General features: G+C 43.6%; 1 protein-coding gene across 8 annotated transcripts in view, besides 3 other annotated features; it reads right to left on the bottom strand.

Moving 5' to 3' along the window:
- FRMD3 (FERM domain containing 3) overlaps positions 1–12,624 on the bottom strand; it is a 342,803-nt gene that overhangs the window by 179,972 nt on the left and 150,207 nt on the right. The window lies entirely within an intron of this gene.
- Positions 1,091–1,385: a silencer, noted in NCBI's record as "tiled region #2550; K562 Repressive non-DNase unmatched - State 7:EnhWF". NCBI's record gives its function as "weakly represses a minimal TATA promoter and a strong SV40 promoter by Sharpr-MPRA in K562 cells {active_cell/tissue: K562}" and the evidence as "EXISTENCE:reporter gene assay evidence [ECO:0000049][PMID:27701403]".
- Positions 1,091–1,385: an enhancer, noted in NCBI's record as "tiled region #2550; HepG2 Activating DNase matched - State 5:Enh". NCBI's record gives its function as "activates a minimal TATA promoter and a strong SV40 promoter by Sharpr-MPRA in HepG2 cells {active_cell/tissue: HepG2}" and the evidence as "EXISTENCE:reporter gene assay evidence [ECO:0000049][PMID:27701403]".
- Positions 9,311–9,605: a silencer, noted in NCBI's record as "tiled region #10133; K562 Repressive non-DNase unmatched - State 24:Quies". NCBI's record gives its function as "represses a minimal TATA promoter and a strong SV40 promoter by Sharpr-MPRA in K562 cells {active_cell/tissue: K562}" and the evidence as "EXISTENCE:reporter gene assay evidence [ECO:0000049][PMID:27701403]".

The following is a 12,624-nucleotide window of genomic DNA, read 5'->3' on the forward strand; positions in this document are numbered from 1 at the left end:
AAGACCTAGAAGCCAAAGTTTCTCAAGGCCTCTTCAGGGAACAGCAACTAAAATTATTTGAACTCGAGTTCTCCATGGGGACAGAGTAATATAAAGAAGAGTAAAGCCAATAAAAAAGCACCAATTTCGATATTTTGAAGATATATACATTATAGATGGAGCAAGGTAGAGCAGTATGTACTCTGATCTTCAGAAAGTTGTGGAATAATAACACAATTACACAAGGATAGTTTTGAATGTCTTGCATTTGTTTAATGCAGGTGTTTCATTGTTAAGTTTATTTTCCTATCTAATTTTGAGGCCAACCAGCTGAAATTCTCCAGAGAGGAAAGCAAGAGTGTCAGGAATGCTGAGGCTCTTGCACTCATCCCAGGGACTGTGCACAGAGCCACAGTCATAGATGAGGACCCCAGAACATGCGGTGGTAACCCTGGGCCATGCAAGGAGGACTGATTACCTCCAGGCAGGGATGGGGCACCAACACTGCCATCAGGAGAAAGCCTATAAGCAAAGCCTCCTAGAGTCTCATATGGTGCTGCCCCAATTTGGTAGCCACGAACCACATGTAGCTATTTAAATTTTAATTTAAACTTTAGTTCCCTAGTTGCACTAGCCCTGTTTCTTTTTTTTTTTTTTTTTTTTTTTTTTTTGAGATGGAGTTTCGCTTGCATCGCTCAGGCTGGAGTGCAGTGGCGTGATCTCAGCTCACTGCAACCTCCGTCTGCCAGGTTCAAGCGATTCTCCTGCCTCAGCCTCCTGCGTAGCTGGAATTACAGGCTTGTGTCACCATGCCCAACTAATTTTTGTATTTTTGCAGAGTTGGGGTTTCACCATGTTGGCCAGGCTGGTCTCAAACTCCTGACCTCAGGTGATCCACTTGCCGCTGCCTCCCAAAGTGCTGGGATTACAGGCATGAGCCGCGGCCCCGAGCTCTGCTAGCCCTGTTTCAAGTTCCCAGCCACATATGGCTAGTGTCTACCTTATCAGATGTTGCAAATACAGAACATCTCTATCATCACAGAAAGTTCTATCGGACCATGCCAGTCAAGAGTAAATCTTCTTGAACGTTAATGTGCCTTTAAATCACTTGAAGATCTTATTAAAATGTAGCTTCTTATGGAGTAGTCTGGGGAGGGGCCTGAGTCTCTGCATTTCTAACAAGCTCCAGGTGGATGCAGACGGTCGTGGCCATGGCCCTTGCTGAGAGGCTAGGGAGGAGGCACAATGACCCTGTTCAACGCTGGCCTTGAGCTGAATGGTAAACATGTCTCCTGCTCTTACACAAAGAGCACCTTGTACATTCAAATTGCAGTTCTATAAAACAGTGAATGTTAGACGATACAGAATCACTTTCCCTTGTCTACCCTTCCACCCTTACACTATGTGGTTTTCAAAAATTTCAGGGTTCGAAGCAAAAATATACAGACCACTGAATCTCTATCTTCGCTACACTATCTGCAATGGAGATTTCCTTAAGAGAAAGCCTGCCCGGTATAATTTAAGCAGCTGTGTTTCTAGAAGATAAGAGCAGCCCTTGTACATTCGGACACAATGGTATCTTAAAGAGAAACAGGCATGTGCAAAAATTCAATGTGGCTGCATTAGTACAACATATTTAGAGTAATGAAAAAGAAGAAAGAAGCTCTCCAAGCTTAAAAACAGAAAATTGCATCACAATAGAAAAAATCCCACAGATAAATATACCAAATAATCTATCTGTAGCATTGCCACAGTTTCCAAACAGAAATAACTCACACGGTTTCATCTTTAAAAACAAGAAGACAGATATATCTGTGATGTACATAACCTAACATTTCCAAATGATCCCAATTAATCATATAACTATCCACACAAAGTAGGTCTTACTGTTTTCATTTTTACAGGTGTGAATACCAACTCTCAGACGAAGTAAGAAACTGCCTGGGGTTCACCCAGTTCTATCTGGCTTTGCAACTCATACTGGTTTTATTGTCCTGCGCTACTGCTCCAACTAGTATGAAAAACTAGTTTACAAGTAGATGAGAAGAGGGCAATGACACCCTGTAAGCAGAATAACTATTGCAGACTGGCAGCCTCTTCTCCCAGCTAGCTACAGTTTACTCACCTGCAAGTGGAATGGCTCACCCATCTGTCCATTAAAAGATTAATCTTATCATTAAGAGATTTCTGCTAAAAGCACTGAGGGAAAACATAAACCAGTATGTTCATTATTTAATCTTGCTGGGTTTTACAGGATTTACAGTAATTATGGGTTAATGTAGATATATATCCTAGATTATAGAATAACCATCCAGAGAAAAATCCAAGAGTGAGCTTGTAACAAGGTCCCCTGCATGAGAATTAGCAGCCAGAGTACAACCTGGGACGTGACAACTGGTATGAGCATGTTCTCACAACCAAGCAACCTGGCTGAAAAGTGAGTCATGAGGTTGTGGGGAGAGGTGGGGGCCATCAGAGCATTCATCATCCTAGCTTGTGAGAGTGAATGGGGGCACTCACAGACAACAGGAGTATGCATGAACTGGCCCGGGGAAACCTGTCCAGCAGGCACCTTATTCAGAAGCCTTGATGTTAGGGAGTTGGATTTTTCTCTGAAAGGAGAGGAAGCCACCAAATGAGTGGCATAATCCAACTTTGCATTTTAGAAAGACCTTCCTATGGGCCGGGCGCAGTGGCTCACACCTGCAATCCCCACACTATGGGAGGCCGAGGCGGGAGGATCACTTGAGGTCAGGAGTTCGAGACCAGCCTGGCCAACATGATGAAACCCCCATCTCTACTAAAAATACAAAAATTAGCCAGGCATGGTGGCACATGCCTGTAATCCCAGCTACTCGAGAGGCTGAGGCAGGAGAATTGCCTGAACCCAGGAGGCAGAGGTTGCAGTGAGCCGAGATCATGCCACTGCACTCCAGCCTGGGCAAGAAGAGTAAAACTCCGTCTCAAAAAAAAAAAAAAAAAAAAACAACCTTCCTGGCCCTTGCGTGGAGAACAGGGCTAGAAGAGGAAGAGATTATTAAACCTCACAGGCTTAGTCCATAAGAAATGTGTGCACATGTGCTCACAAGCGTGAGCAAACCATCCTAAGAAAATTCAGAATCTGGGGCTAATTTTAAACCCGCTAATGTTGACCTAAATTAGACACAAAAAAAGTTGAATTCTTCCTATGCCAAAACTAACCCCCAACTCTCATGCTCCTCCCCTGGCAAGGTCTACTGCATGGTATTATAGAAAGTGGAACCAGCCCTTCAGGCCAGAGGGCACCACCTGGAAAAGCAACAAGCCATTGTCCTCAATAGGGAAACAGTTACCAACAGCAAAATGCAGCCAGACGAAAATCTGTCTGGATTGTTCCAGTCATTTGTTGAGCATCTCCTACATGTTGGCACTGCAAATGTAAAGATAACCGAGGCACAATTCCTGTTCTCAAGAAACATATGGACAGACAAGGCAGTTATTCTGATACAATGTGAGAGGCATGGCAGAGGCCGGCCCCGGTGCTAAGAGCACAAAAGAGGAGCAGGTGATGCACGCTCTGTGTCATCGTGTCTTTTGGCACAAAGTGTGGTTTCCAGACTTAGCAACATCCTGTATTACCTGGAAGCTTGCTGGAAATGCAGAATCTCAGGCCCACCTCAGATGAGTTAGCCAAAGGAGGATAAGTGGGAGGAGGCATTTAAAAGACAGGAAATGGCAGAAGCAAAATGACCGGTGTGAGAGGGATGGTTGCACATTCCCAGCTTGCAGAGATCAACATGCCTGAAGCACAGACTAACAGGCACAAGGTGGTAAACAGAGAAGCTTTGAAGGGGTGGAGAGGAAGACCAGGTAGAACCTTCTGAGTTACAGGCCTGAGACACATCACTGTACTTGGCAGAAGGGACACCAAGGAGATCAGGTGGTCCAGACAAGCTTCGGTTTGGAGGGAGCCAAGAGTTGTCTGGCACAGGCTTGAGAACTTGGAGAAGGGAACTTAGCTGGTTTTGTGAAACCAAACAAACTTATTTCCCCTTAATGACATTGCTTCCCAGCTAGATCTGTGCCAAAGAGTAAAAAGAAAAGCACTCAAAGAACCTTCACTACTCGATCTCAGTCCAGGCACAGGGCTTGGGCAGGGTTTCTTAAAGGCACCTAAGTATAGGAATTACCTGGAGCATTTGTTCAAAATTCAGGTTCCCAGACCAAAGTGTAATCTGTGGAATCAGAAACCCATGAGAATGGCCTGAGGAGTATAGGCTTGGGAAGCAGCCAGGGTGATTCCACACATCAGGAAACCTGGGGTCTGTGGGTGAGGGATGGAGAGCACCTGATTCCTAACACTGTAGGTGGTCAGCAAGTCATAGGTTCCCCTCTGGCCCTGTCACAATAACCCAAGAGGTTGGAAGGTGCTGACTCCACTCCATGTGCTCTTTATAGAGGTTGTTCAGGTCACACATCCCTTAGGGGACAGAACATGAAAAACAGTCTTGCTCGGTACCTGACCTAGAAAGGTGTCATTCTTGATGTGCTAGTCTTACATATTTAATGGTAGACTTGTTCCTCTCTCCATATTTGATTCATTCAATACTCATCATTCAGTACCTGTTAGGTACAGGCACCTAATAGGTACAAGCAAGAAAACTTGAGTTCTCTGACAGATGAAAGTATTAGTTAATGTTAGTATGAACTGACTCTTGAACTTTGACAAATATAAGTATTTATATATATATGAATATATGTATATATCTAACTCAGTGTCTTTATACCTTTTAAAAAGATGAATCTAGAAAAAAAAATGAGCAAAAAGCATGAATAAGCATTTCACAGAAGATAAAACTTAAAAGGCCAGCAAGCATATGAAAAGATGTTCAACTGATCAGTAATTGGGAAAACAATAATTAAAAAACATTTCCTATTCATGAGCTTGGCCAACTTTTTAAAGTCTGACATTTCCAAGGTTTGGTGGGATGCAGAGAAACTGGACAGCGTCCTACACTGCTAACAGGAGCATAAGTAAGCGCGACCAGTTTAGAAAACAACTTGTCATTACCTAGCAGAGGTGATGATGTACATAGTAAGTACTTCTGCTTCTAGATGGAAACCCCAGAGGAGTAGCAAACATGACTATAAAATATGTATAAGAATGTTTATAGGCCGGGTGAGGTGGCTCACACCTGTAATCCCAGCACTTTGGGAGGCCAAGGCAGGTGGATCACCTGAGGTCAGGAGTTCAAGACTAGCCTGGTCAACATAGTGAAACCCCATCTGTACTAAAAATACAAAAAATTAGCTGGGCATGGTGGTACACACCTGTAATCCCAGCTACTTGGGAGGCTGAGGCAGAAGAATTGCTTGAACCCGGGAGGCAGAAGTTGCAGTGAGCCGAGATCACACCATTGTATTCCAGCCTGGACAACAGAGCGAGACTCGGCCTCAAAAAAAAAAAAGTATGTTTATAGTAGCATACTTTGTAATTGAATAAAACTGGAAACAATTCACACATCCATTGACAAAAGAATGGAAGGATACTTCCATATATACATATATACATATCCACACATATAAACCACACACACACACACATATATATACATGTGTGCTCATGTTGGTCTGATGTATTTTATAAATATTTAGTCCTCAGTTCATTTAGTAATTATAATAATTTTCATTATTTATACCATGTATTAAGGCATGTGCTGGGTGTTCTTTACATATCTCTAATCATCATTAAAACCTTGTAAGGTATAATCATTCCGCTGCAGTTGGAGAAGATGAAGTTGGGTGATGCCTTTAGCCTAAAATCACACCACTTGGAAATACTGAAGCTCAGATTTGCACCCATTAACTCCAAAGCCCAAGTTCTTCCTACCATATCAAGTTCTTTCCAGAAAGATCTTTAACCCAATAATGTATGTTTTACTCATTATCTTGATAATGATGTAAGCATGAAAGCAAGTTAATTCCTCCTAACCTTGCCCTTGATATGTAGATCTACTCTTCATTGAAGCTAAAACACACACGCACACACACACACAACTCATATGTAATAGCAACAAATAATGGACGGCATGGCCTCCTTAGGAAAAAATGAAAGCTAATTAAAATAATCTCTATTGAATGTAGGCTAAATTTATTTGTGCTGAGGTTCTATAATTCATGAGAATTAACGTGACTGATCCATAGAAGATATTCACATAAAGAGGAAATAAGCAGTTAATACTTCTCTTCGTAGTCATGCCATAGCAAGTGGCCATCAGCTTCCAGAGCTGATGCCTCCCGTCACATCTGAAGCTCTCCTACTGTGATGTCTCACCACTGCTTGGGGCTCAGGTACTCTGTACAATGAGAGCTTCCTTTCAGGTTCCTGTCACTTGGAAGATCCATCTTGATCCTGGCTCCAGCCCCCTGCTTGGCAACTCAGCCCTATCAATTATTAATCCATCTCCAGCTTTCATCGCCCGTTTCTCCCTCTCCCTTTGATCTTTTTCCTCAGCTTACAAACATTCTCCCCAGGACATCCTTAAAAATGCCCTTTGCTTTCACTCTGATATGCTCTTATGCACTAAGCTCTCTCTCCCACTCCCTTCTCTGCCCACCTTGTAGAAGGAGCCCAGCCTGTCCCAAGGTCCCACGTCCTTGCCACCTTCTCATCATTTAATCCTGTTTCCTCATCTACAAAACTGAGATAATCATGCTTCTTCCTGGGCCTTCGTGAGGCTTCTGTGAGAATGTGTGCATGATGCCAGGTGCTGAGTGGGAGATTATTAGTCTTCTCCTTCTTAACAATTTTTCTCTCTCTCTTGGATTCCATTTTGCCCCTTATTCTTTATCCTGGTCCTGGGTCTTCGTCTCTTGTCTCTGCCATTTGTTCAGGGATCTCATTCAGCCCCCTGGCTCCAACTCTGACCTCTATGCAGAGATGCGAATGATTCTCAAACTCAATATCCAGACTTAACCCTTCACGCATAAGTCAGCAGGTCCCAAGCCAACCCCAGATCACAGAGAACCCACTATTCACCAACTGCTTCTCCTCACCACCACCATTGCCAGTTTCTTAGAATTCGGATATCGTAATCATCATGAACTCCTTTGTTCCCCCATCACTAATCACTTACTAAAGGCTGTCTTATTCTATATTATACATAATGCTTGAATCAAGGCCTTTCTGATCATACCTTATCCCTAGCCTTGGTCTCAACACCTCTAGTTGAAACAACTTCAAGAGACACCTGCCTAACTCCTTCCCTGCTCCTGTATCTCTTCCCTCCTCTTTGTCCTACAAGCCAATGCAGAGAGACCTTCCTAAAACACAACCCTTGTCCCACGCTGGCCCCTCCTTCTGCAGCCCCCTGTAACCTCCAAATAAAACCCCAAGATTGGCTCCATTTGGTAGAAGCTCCATTTGGTGGAAGCTGAGTGATCTGTACCAGCCACCATATTGAGAAATTTTTATCCCTGTACATGTGTATAAGTACATGTAAATGTATATCATGTGGGTTTAGACACGTGCAGATGACAAAGACCTAAGGCAGACTAATGCTCAGAGTAGAAAAGAGTAATTAGTAAGCTGGCAGATCATAAGTCTCTCCACATATTTGTTCCTTAACTTGTTAAAATTATAAAACAATGACCATGATAAAAGAAAAACTTTTTTTTCATAAAATGGCTTGCTTTTTTTTAAGAAATGTCTTTCATTTCACACCAACGAGCCAGCAAACATTCACCTATCTTTTTCACTCTAAAGTTTAAAGCCGTTGGTAGCCCCACGTCCATATCTTCGATGTTTAAAAACAGATGTTTAAAAATTACAGATTTCCCTAAAATCTGAAAAGCTGGCCTCTTGAAAACTCAGCTGACCACTTGGCACTGGCTCAGCATGGCATCACCCCTGTGCAGGGAGCTGGCTGGAGAGGAGTAACAAACAGCTGTCCCTGTGGCCAGGCCACCCACCCTGCTCTCTGGCCACATTCATGCCTGCACCACTTAGTTCCTTTAGATCACCTATCTGACCCCTGTAGGAATTTGATGCTTTGGCCCCTCATATAAACAATGAGGTCTTATTGTAATTCCGTGGTATTAGAGCCCTGTGATAGGCAAAGCATGTCCAGCAAGTTCATTCTGAGCAAAACATCCTTTTAGGTGAGATCCATTGGCCCTTTATTGAACTCATGGAAGGAGCACGTTCATTTCAGATTGTACATTTCCAGCTTCTTGGGAATGTCCAATAGCGTGGATGTTTGAGAACATCAGCCAGTTCAGATGTACGCCTTCCCTCATCTAACTAGTCTCCCTGCCATAAATGAATATGACATTGGTATAATGTATTTCGTGTTTTGCACAATGAAACTAGCACCACATGTGCTTCCAAATGCTCATTATTCCCATGTGGATAATTTATTCTCCTACATTTTCAGGGATATGAGTTAGAATGACTTGTTATGCCCTCCAAAATCATCTTTGTTTTCTTAAAAATGCTAGGACAAACTGAATTAAAATCTAAAATTTTTAATTTATCTTAATTAATACTCTAGCCTTTCCTTCCTTATTCTATTCTGATTTTTTTCCCTATTCTAACTTTTTACTTTGTATTTCACAAGGTATAATCTTAAACAGTTTTGTGGTTAAGTTTAGCGTTTTTTTTTATGAGATGAAACATTTGACTTCTCTGCTATTTTAGGTTCTGAGAGTATCAGCTTTTGCTGAAGGTATAAAGGTGTCAAAAGTGTCACTTGTCCTTCTCTTGTCTCTGATTTGTTGACCATGAGGCCCTTTTTAACTTCCCCAATTGCAGCTCCCTTACTATTTTGTCTTCTCCAGTTTTGTGCCTGCACTTGGTGTTATTTTTCCATACTCTCACCTCCTGACCTGGCCTGAGTTCTAGGTGGAAGTTTCCATTTGCCTTTCAGGAATGAGCTCTTATCAAAAGATCACTAACTCATAAACATGCTTGCTTGCCAGCTGCTGGCACAGCACTCTGCAGAGAGAGGACACTTAGTTCAATGTGGGACTTGGGCTTCTTCAGAGAAACCCTAGCACTCTTCAGAAGGAACCCGTGGCAGCTCGAGGCATAGACAATCCTCATTAGGTACCCAATATTTATTAACTAAACTCTTCACCCAACTCCCTTCCCTCATTGCATTCCCAATCTAGTGGCTGGAAAGGACACTGCCACACACCTGGAAGCAATGGACTTAAAACACGGCATTGCAAGAGTCTTCCCCACATCCGGCCCTCTGGATGCCTAGCCTTGTCCCAGGATGCTGGTTAACTTGTATGATGACAGGGAAGGATGGGCTAGAGTGATATTTTAAGTGCAATCTCCTCCATAAACCACTTCTACAGCTCTGGCCTTGCCACTGAGCCAGGAGCCAAGTCTGCCAGGTCACTATGTTTCCTTTGCCCCAAGGAATCCAGGAAAATACCGAGAGCACTGCCAGATGGCAAGCAGCCACCAAGGCTGCTGGGTGGCCCGGGAGGAATGTGACTGTGTGTCCTTTGTGTGGTGTGGCCCCCTCCCTCAGCCTGGCCAGCCTCTGCTCCCCAGCAGTCCACGCACATTCCAAGGTTTTATGTGTGCATTTCAATGAAGCCCAGCACCCCACCACAGAAAATGTCACCACTGCCTCAGGCCCTCCGGGACTTTTAAAGCTTTGAGCCCAGCAGGTTAAACTTATAAAACAAAGGTCATAGATCACTCATCCAATGCCTGAATAAATATCTGTTTGTAAGTTCAATATAAAAGGAATATAAGTTTAATATGAAAGGAATTCTTCCATTATCCTTTTTTTCTTAAATAGATTTAACAGATTTAAAAAAATTTTAATTTCAATAGCTTTAGAGGTACAAGCATTTTTGGTTATGTGGACAAATTATATAGTGCTGAAGTAGGATTTTACTGCACCTGTCACCCAAGTAGTGTACATTGTACCCAGTAAGTAGTTTTTCATCCTTTACCCTCCTTCTGAGTCTCCAATGTCCATTATACAACTCTGCATGCCTTTGCATACCTATAGCTTAGCTTCCACTTATAAGTGAGAACTAGGTTTTTGGTTTTCCATTCCTGAGTTACTTCACTTAGAATTATGGCTTCTAGTTCCATCCAAGTTGCCAAAAAAGACATCATTTTTTTCTTTTTAGTGGCTGAGTAGTATTCCTTGGTGTATATATACCACATTTTCTTTATCAATGCATTCATCAGTTGATGGGCATTAGGTTGATTCCATATCTTTGCAATTGCTTTTCATTCTTAAAATGTTTCCTTATTATAAAAAAATCTCAAGAGGCTAGGAAGGCAATTAATGCATGCTTAGTTCATGATATTAATAAAGAACATTGGTGGAAGTGAAACTTCACCACATCATAAAATTCTGCATGCTCAGGGATCATAACGGAAGCAGGAGGTTAGGACACCATAAGAAAAAGAGAAGGGGGATTAGGCCTTCCCACAGAACTATGCCTTGTCCCTCTCATGTTTTCCTCACAGGCAAACTCTTCAAAGCAGCAGTCCCCAACCTTTTTGGCACCAGGGACCAGTTTAATGGAAGACAATTTTTCCACGGATCAAGGTGGAAGTGGGGTGGTTTCAGGATGACTCAAGCACATCACATTTATTGTGCACTTTATTTCTATTATTATTACATTGTAATACATAATGAAATAATTATACAACTTACCACAATGTAGAATCAGTGGGAGCCCTGAGCTTGTTTTCCTGCAACTAGACAGTCCAATCTGAGGGTGATGGGAGACAGTGACAGATCATCAGGCATTAGATTCTCATAGGGAATGTGCAACCTAGATCCCTTGTATGCACAGTCCACAATAGGGTCTGCACCCCTATGAGAATCTAATGTCACCACTGATCTGACAGGTGGCAGAGCTCAGGTGGTAATGCCAGCTATGGGGAGTGGCTGTAAATACAGATGAAGCTTCACTTGATCACCCACCACTCACCTCCTGCTGTGCAGCCCGGTTCCTACTGGTCTGTGGCCCAGGGGCTGGGGACCCCTGCCTTAAAGGACTTGTGTCAAAAGTCACCATCTTGCTCTATTCTGCAAATTCCCTCTTGACCACCTCCTCTTTAGGGCAGCAGAGGGCTTCCTGTCTGGAGCTCCAAGCCTGAAAGACATCTGCAGGGAGGCACAGTGTTTCTTCATAAACTTCCTTCCTCAAGCTCACAGGCTTGGCAGTTTGCTTAGTAAATATCAAATTCTCCCCAAACTAAAAAATAAAGATTGCTCCTGGCTAGGTGTACCTTGACCACTGGACTCTCAGTCCTCTGAGCCTCTGATGGAGTTTGAGGTCACTTTTAGGAGACTGTGCCGTGGTCTCCACAGGCAGAAGAAAAAGAATGTGGCCTGTTCTGCAAGGCAGTGGAGTTAGACACAGGGGGACTTCAGTTCACATCCTGGCCCTGGCCCTTCCTGGTTGTGTCACCTGGGAAAGGCCACTTGGCTCTCTGAACCTTGGTTTCCTTGACTGTGAATGGGGACAAATGTCCAACACTAAACAAGAGGATGCACACAAAGCTCCCAGCAGCCTACCTGGCCCATGGCACTCACAAGCCCAATAAACCTAAACTCACCCATCCCTTCCTGCTTACCCAGCAGTAGAACAATGGGTTTTCTGAATCATTAAGTCATTTTAACAAGCTTTTAAAAGCAAACTAGCTCAAACCAAAGGAGACACAGCCCATGCTTATCAACAGTCCTCTCCCAATGTCTTAAAGCCTTGGGATTCTCATGGTTTCCAGTGGAGGTCAAGGAGAAAAGAAGTGTTGTAACATGATCAGAAATGTATGGCCTCCCCTTTAAAGAGGAAACTATAATTAACAGAAGATGCCAACATCTGAATCTCTCCCCTCCCCCACCCCTCTGCTTTTTTTTTTTTTTTTTTTTTTTTTGAGACAGGGTCTGGCTCTGTCACCCAGGCTGGAGTGCAGTGGCACGATCTCGGCTCACTGCAGCCTCTGCCTCCTGGGTTCAAGTGATTCTCCTGCCTCAGCCTCCTGAGTAGCTGACCACAAGCACACACCACCACGGCAGGCTAATTTTTGCGGGTTTTTTCTGTAGAGATGGGGTTTCACCATGTTGGTCAGGCTGGTCTCGAACTCCTGAGCTCAAGCAATCCACCTGCCTCAGCCTCCCAAAGTGCTGGGATTACAGGCGTGAGCCACCGTACCAGGCCGGAACCCCTTATTTAGTGTTCCTTGCTCAGTGTTTCTCCAGCTCTGCAGCCACCCTTATGGAAACTGGAACCACTCTGCTACACACATGGACTTCCATTTGATTTCCTCTTAGTCAACACACAGTGTGCAGTGTGCTTCTGAATTCAAATATCCAGGCCCACCTGGCAGATCCTTTGGTCCCTCCTAGTTTGGAAAAGGGAGGATCTCATGAAATCAGGTATCCTGCTTAAGAGAAAGTTTGTGCCTTTCAAAAGTGAGCTCTAAAGCCACCACAAACCAGAAAGCCAGCAAGGAGTGCTCAAGGTTCCAGATCAAGAGCTCCCTGACCACTGGCCTCACTAGGGCATCATCTGGAGTGGCAGAGTCCTACCCTAAACCACAGCCGTCGTTGAGAAGGCACAGAGTCCTTCCCTAAACCACAGCCACCACCGAGAAGGCTGTCTTTTAGCCAGTTACTT

This window comes from Homo sapiens, chromosome 9 (genome assembly GCF_000001405.40).
Source record: "Homo sapiens chromosome 9, GRCh38.p14 Primary Assembly".
NCBI lineage: Eukaryota > Metazoa > Chordata > Mammalia > Primates > Hominidae > Homo > Homo sapiens.